Raw genomic sequence first — 8278 nt, 5'->3', positions numbered from 1 at the left:
TAATCAGCCATGATCACTCTCGTATCATCTCTTATAGATTTGCTCTTTTGACAACATCAAAAATGGAAAATAAGAACAAATAAAAAGGCACTAACAGGAGAGTATAGAGCAGAAATGTTTTATCCAAAGCATTGATGAGCTTTTCTAAGCAGGAGTCTGAATTTAGAATAGCACAAAACTCTCTAGTAAAAACTAGAATTCATATAGATATGGAAGAAAATGTCTTGTAAATTAAAAATACCACAGGTTTATTTTTCTGTGTGGCCCTAGAATATAAGAGACGTATGTCCTAGGCTGTGAGATTCTTCTGATTTTTGCGAATAAGGGAGAGGACAGTATCAATAGTGACATAAAGGATTGTTTTAATGAAAGTGATAGGCCTATAACATAATCTTAATTTTTGTCACAAATCTGAAGAGTGGAAAGTTAAATTTTAAAGTTCAACCAATACATCAGTTTTCATAATAAGCAACTAGCCAGTTGTTTGACTTAATTTAAACACCTTCATGCATTCTTCGTACAGGCTTATATGTGTCAACACAGTTATGTCAGTAGAAGAAAACTTGACAGGAACAAAATATTGAAATGGATTAAAAAGCAAACTACAAAAGATCAACCAATTCAAAATCTCAAAGCACAGTATTTATAGTAGAAAAAAGGAAAAAATTAATATTCACTCTTAAATTGTAGGTGAATATGGGATGTGTGAAAAGCCCTACTACAACTACAAAGTACTCAGATAAACAGCAATTCTTTGAAAAACATTTTTTTCTCAGTTAGGGTAACTTTTTTTTTCTTCTTTTTGACAGTTAAACATACTTTGAGACTTATTTCTTATGTTATTGAATATGGAAAGATCCTTGACTGTAGGTAAACTTTGCCTCAGAATCTAAGACAGGAGGCTATGTTTTAGAAACTGTATTTTAACCTGTAACATACAAACAAAATAATATCATATAATTTCATAATGGAACATCACCATATTACTTGTGATATAAGCTAAAATAAAGAGTTATTGATATTTTTTTTAAGATCAAAAGAACTTTTGAAAACAATAGAAAGCAATGGGTTATGAAAATCTACTGCTAAATTATGGCTAATATCTTATGTATTAGTTCATTCTTGCATCGCTATGAAGAAATATCTCGGACTGGATAATTTATAAAGGAAAGAGGTTAATTGGATCATGGCTCTGCAGAAAGTACAGGAAGCATAGTGGCATCTGCCTCTGGGGAGGCCTCAGGATGCCTCCAATCATGTCATGGAGGAAGGCAAAGGGATTGAGGTATCTCACATGGCAGGTGCAGGAGCAAGGTGAGGGGGGAAGGTGCTACGCACTTTTAAACAACCAGGTCTCATGAGAACTCACTATCATGAGGACAGTACCAAGTGGGATGGTGCTAAACCAGAAGAAATCATCACCATAATCCAATCACCTCCCACCTCACTCCACCTTCAACATTAGAGATTACAATTTGACAGGAGATTTGAGGAGGGACACAGATCCAAACCACTTCATTTTCTATGTATTTTTAATGATTAGGAATTGTATCCTCTATCAGTTTTGATTTTGGAGGCTTAATTCCCAAATAGGTTGTTTAGCTTGTCTTTGTTCTTTGCTGCAGACAGATAAAAACATTAACCCTTTTCTATTGTTGTGAAACTACTTGGCCCTGGAGGCAGAGCTGGAAAGCTCTGGAGATTGTGGGAAGCTCTCAGGAAATCCATACCATCTTTGGGAAATTAGAAGTTTATAGTAATAAAATTGGTGCTCAATAACACATTCTTTGCATAAGATAAAATTGTATAGATGAAGAAAGATAACCAAAAAGGGCTTTGGCTTGTTCAGTGTCACATAGTCATGTAAGGGAGGGAGCTGAGACTTAACTTCCTGATCAAATGGTGAGTTTCCTATTGCTTTGCTCAGGAATTGTCATTTGATATTGGCTTATTTACTGCGTAGCATAATATAATGGGGAACAGCAAAGCAGCATAGATTTCAAAGTAGGAAAAACTTGGATTTGAAGTCTGACTTTGTCATTGAGCTGTTTGGCTTATGCACATTATTTATATTCTCTGTGTCTCAGCTTCTGAGCTATAAATCCCTTAATTATAAATAATAATATTTTATCTCCTAGTGCTATAAGGATTAAGTGAGACAATGCATATAGTGCTTTGAACAAAGATCAACCCATAGTGGGCTTTCAACAAATGCTATTTCTCTCTGTCTCTCTCAATAAAAGGAAAAAAAAATGTTGTTAATCAGTCAAGAAACTTGGCTGTAGTGACAGAAACCTAACACAAGCCAAATAGAATAAAAAGAAGCCTGAAATTCTCAAACAATCAAGCTGTGGGAGGGGCAGGCAGCCTCACAGAATATTAGAACCAAGGAACGCAGCTAGCTCTCTCCCTATCTCTCCTCTCTGCTTCTTTTTGATAGCTTCCCTATTTACTCCGTTCACATCTCCTTTCTACCCTGTTAGAAATATGGCTTCTGACAAATCTGACTGGCCCTTCCTGCTTTACTACTGTAGAGGGACTGAGAGTATTTTTCTGGTCTCAAATTAAAACACTTGATCCTCATTGGCCACTCCAATTATGGAATAATCACCCCAAGGAAGAAAAGGAGAATTCCATTATTGCCTCAGCTTGAGTATTGAGAAAGGGATGTGGTGTATTGTTGAAGTGTTTGCTATAAAAACACAACTAATTATAATGTTGGGTGAGATAATACATTGAAAAAGGAAACGAAAATAGACATCGACTGTATAAACTTTAAATACATGAAATAATACTTTTCTCATTTTATGTATAGATATATGTAGTAAAAATAGAAAAATATGTATAAAAATGATGCATGCCACATTCAGACAGTGATTTCCTTTGGGAAGAGAGATACAGAAGGAATGTAAGCATACTGCACAGGCAAAAGTTGGAAGTATGTCCCCTGAAAGCTGGAACAAGACAAGGATGTCCATTCTCAGCACCTCTATTCAACATTGTACTGAAAGTACTACCCAGAATAATCAGGCAAGAGAAAGAAATACAAGGCATCCAAATAGGTGAAGAAGAAGTCAAACTCTCTCTCTTCTATGATGATATTACTGTATACCTAGGAAACTCTAAAGACTCTGCTAGAAGGCTCCTGGAACGGATAAGTGACTTTAATACAGTTTCAGGATACAAAATCAATGCACAAAAATCAGTAGCATTTCTACACACAAATAACGTTCAAGCTGAGAGCCCAATCAAAAACACAATCCCATTTACAATAGCCATGAAAATAGAAAGATACCTGGGAATACATCTAACCAAGGAGAAGAAATATCACTACAAGAAAAACTACAGAACACTGCTGAAATAAATCACAGATGACACAAACGGAAAAACATTCCATGTTTATGGATCAGAAGAATCAATTCTGTTAAAATGGCAATACTGCCCAAAGCAATCTACAGATAAAACACTATTCTTATCAAACTATTGATGTCATTTTTCATAGAACTAGAAAAAAAAATTCTTAAATTCATATGAAACCCAAAAAGAGCCTGAATAGCCAAAGCAATCCTAAGCAAAAAGAACAAGACCAGATATATCACATTACCCGACTTCAAGCTATACTACAGGGCTACAGTAACCAAAACAGTATGGTACTGGTGAAAAACAGATATATAGAACAATGGAATAGAACAGATAACCCAGAAATAAAGCCATATACCTATAGCCATGTGATCTTTGACAAAGTCAGCAAAAAGAAGCATGGGGAAAGGACCTCCAACCAATGGTGCTGGGATAGCTGGCTAGCAATATGCAGAAGAATGAAACTAGACTCCTACCTATCACCATACACAAATATTAACACAAACTTGAGTGAAAATTTGAATGTAAGGACCTCAAACTATAAGAATTATAGAAGAAAACCTAGGAAACACCATTCTAGACCTTGGCCTTGGCAAATAATTTATGGCTAAGTCCTCAAATGCAATTACAACAAAAACAAATATTGATAAGTGGGACCTAATTAAACTAAAGAGCTTCTGCACAGCTAAAGAAACTGTCAAGACTGGGCACGGTGGCTCATACCTATAATCCCAGAACTTTGGGAGGCCAAGGCGGGAGGATTGCTTGAGCTTAGGAGTTTGAGACCATCCTGGGCAACATGTCAAAAGCCTGTCTCTACAAAATATACAAAAATTAGCCAGGCGTGTTGGCACGTGAATGTAATCCCAACTACTTGGGAGGCTGAGGCACAAGAACTGCTTGACTCCATGGGGCGGAGGTTGCAGTGAGCCGAGATCATGCCACTGCACTCCAGCCTGGGCAACAGAGTGAGACTCTCTCAATTAAAAAAAAAAAAGAAAGAAAGAAAGAAAGAAAGAAAGGAAGAAAGAAAGAAAGAAAGAAGGAAAGAAAGAAACTGTCAACAGAGTAAACAGACAACGTACACAATGGGAGAAAATATTTGTGTGCTATCCATCTGACAAATGTCTAATATCCAGAATCTATAAGGAACTTAAACAACTGAACAAGCAAAAAACAAATAAAGACATTAAAAAGTAAGCAAAAGACATGAACAGATACTTCTCCAAAGGAGACATACAAGCAGCCAACCAACATGGAAAAATGCTCAACATCACTTGTCATCAGAGAAATGCAAATCAAAACCACAATGAGATACTATCTCATGCCAGTCAGAATGGTTATTATTAAAAAGTCAAAAAACATGCCGGTGAGGCAGTGGAGAAGGGCAAATACTTATACTATTGGTGGGAATGTAAATTAGTTCAGCAACTGTAGGAAGAAGTTTATAGATTTCTCAAAGAACTTAAAAACAGACTACTACTTGACCCACTAACCTCATTACTGGGTATATACCCAATGGAAAATAAATCATTCTACCAAAAAGACATATGCACTTATACATTCATCACAGCACTCTTCATAACATCAAAGACATAGAATCAACCTTGGTGCCCATCAACAGTGGATTGCATAAGGATAATGTGGTGAACATACACAATGAAATCCTACACAGCCAGAAAAATAATAAAATCATTTCTTTTGCAGCAAAATGGATGTTGCTGGAGGCCATTTATTCTAAGTAAATTAATGCAGGAGGAGAAAACAAAATACTGTAAGTGGGAACTAAACATTGGGTATTTGTGGACATTAAGTTGGCAACAATAGAAACAGGGATCTACTACAGGGGTGAGGGAGGGATCGGAGCCAGGGCTGAAGAACTAACTATTGCGTACAATGCTCACTACCCAGGTGATAGGATCAATCGTACCACAAACCTCAGCATCACACGATATGCTCATGTAACAAACCTCCACATATATCCCAAGAACTAAAATAAAAATTGAAATCATATTTAAAAACAGAAAAGGGATGGGGAAAAAGTTTTTAAAGAGAAATCTTTAAAGTTTTAGTTAGAAAAAAAGAAGGAAAAGAAAGAAGGAAAATGAAGGAAAAAAGTGAAGGAAGAGTGGGGAAGAAGAGAAAGAAAGAAGGGGAGGGAGAGAGATCTGAAGAAATTATAATGCTTTTTAATTACATCAAAGTTTTATACTAAGGAGAAAAAGAAAATATAATTGTATCTTACAAGAAACCACACACATAGGCATTTTTAGAAGTGGTGGGGAGGTGTTGGTGAGACAAACACAAGACATTCACTATATTTCAGTTCTCTTTTATTTTCTACAAGCTGCTACGATTTAAAACAACACAAACATGGAACAAGATAACCTTGCCTTACCTGGATTTAAGGTATTACAAACACTCATTGATACAGTTGTATATTTTATTCAACAAAGAAGTTTTCCCTTTTTAAAATGCTATTATGAAAAGTTCTACACTGGGTACTGAAATGAAGGCTGACTGGTTGATATTAAAATAATCAGTAATCTTTTGTGACAACAAAAAATGAGATGCTTGGCCATCAATTCCTAAAGAATATAGATAAATTTTGTGTGAAGATCAGGAGCCATGTAAATAAAGAAAAGATACAGACCTCAGATTAAATTTAAAAATAAAAATTATAGTTGTCAATTGAGAGATAAACAAGACACTTGCTTTATCATGAAAGAAAACAAAGGAAAGCAGGAAGGAGTCTTTCACATGAACAATATTTCTACATCTTTTACGTGGTTTAACAAAATGTAAAGGCAGGCTAAGTGGATAGTAAGTTTTGTGCTTACAATTTTCATGAAGGAATTGGTGCTCTTCCTTTTAAGCAAATATGACATAAAATTAAAAGTTTAACTAATAAAAGAGATTATTTGTACTTTGTTTTGTAGAATGACCTAAAGTAAGATTACTTTTTAAAAAGTCTTCCTTAATGCACTGAACATTACTCACGAAACAACTTTTGGTTATTTTCTGTCCAGATCCATGGATACATGTATACTTTATGTCCTCACATTTAATTGAAGAGACAAAATTAAAATATGTGAAACATCAGATCCAAGAGAGAGTGAAAAACTGTTAGAGCTTACTCTGTAAGAACTCTGTAACTGGGACAAGTAGAGGAAGGGGTGACTGCAGACTAGGGATTCAGCTGGAACAAAGGCATCAATGTGGAATGGCCATGGTGGTTGTTTAAAAGCCTGTTCAAATATGACTACATTTACAAGAAGTTTATATACATACATTGTGCTAAATATAGTAATTTTGTCTAATGTATCTTTAAACACAATGGAAGAATTTTTTAAAAATGTATAAAAAGAGCCACTGGTTCCCTTCTATGTTGTTTACTCCATGCATTTTATTTTTGATTTTTGTGTATGCATGTGTGTTGGAATAGGGGTCATAATCCTGTAGAAAAGAACATCCTTTTACGTGTCTCATGGAAATAATTGCTGGTCTGCAGTTCCACCTTTGGAATTATTTTCTCCTGAGATTCATGAAAGACCTTGCCCCGCACTGTATGTTGTAAGCCTGGATAAAGCCTTATGAGTTTCCCTATGATGGTCAGGGATGAACAGATTGCCAACTTCTCAGAGCTGAGTTCAAATAAGTCTTGGATTTTGCTCCCTCTTTGGAACCCAGCACAGTGTCTGGCTCATGGTAAGTGCTAACTCGAGTTTGGTAAATTAACTAACTAATTGATTAATAGACATAGCCAAAAGAAACAAGACTAATTTTTCAAATCTCCTATTGAAAGAAATCTTCTCTTGGCATCTATCATGCACCAGTTCAAGAAGGATTTCATTAATGGACATTACCACATGGCAAGGCATTTTGTAATGTGATAAGGGGATTTTTGCCTCTAAGACACCTGTTTGAATCCATCCCAAGTAGATAGGGGATGGAAGTTACTGCTGCCAATATGAAGGGATCTAGTAATGGATTAGGGTTTAGATCCCAAGGAACAGGTGCCCTTGTCATAAAATCAGCCATAACTATGAACCAGAGAAGTTAGAGTCTGAAAGAGCCACTAAACATAGACTAATCTGAGCGAGCCCCGTGAAGGGAGCTTTTGGTCCCAATGTAGTGACTACATATGGTGCATGGAAGATGCTCAGAGAACTGGAGTTAGTAGAACTCCATTAGAACAAAATTCTAGCCCTGGTTCTGGGATGACATGGCTTTTTTATTATGAAAAAATTGTTCCAGGCTCATCTTGTACATTTCTTGTGGCAGTTCTGGAATAACTCATTTCTCAAAAAATCTGTGGTCTTTTCTTCGGAGATTCTATTTCAGCATCACAATCTGGGCACTACCAATGTTCAATGCTACTTTACTGGGCATTGTTTCTAGGTGTTTTGAATGGAAAGAACTAAGAAACATATATGTATTTAAAGCAAATTATCTCATAAGATTTTACTGATGCTTCTAATTCAATTTCAGACTACAGAGACTTTTTCTTATCCTCTTCTGTGTTATGTTTGTATTTCCTTTCTTTGAAAAAGAGAATCTTGGGTCTCAATGACATAGGAGCTGATGGAAATAACATATCCCACATTATTTATTTTCTTTATCCCTTAATACACATGCAACAGTCTCAGAATAACAATACTAAAACCGCCACAACCAATATAATTTCTGAAGACAGGTAAATAGGTTTTTCTTAAGTTCTTGTCGTTTCTTTCCATTTTTAATGGTTGTGCTATATCTCATGCTTAAACACACGGCCATTATTTACTAGGCTTTTCCTTTTAACTCTCATTTAGTCTTAATTTTTCTAGTAACTGTTCATAGCCGGACCTTATGATAGTAACCCTTTAATCATTTTGCCTTTCTGAAACTTGTTCTCTAACAATTCTTTAGAATGAGC

This window comes from Homo sapiens, chromosome 3 (assembly GCF_000001405.40).
Source record: "Homo sapiens chromosome 3, GRCh38.p14 Primary Assembly".
NCBI lineage: Eukaryota > Metazoa > Chordata > Mammalia > Primates > Hominidae > Homo > Homo sapiens.
The sequence above is the reverse complement of the archived record's forward strand: the minus strand, read 5'-3'. Positions refer to the sequence as shown.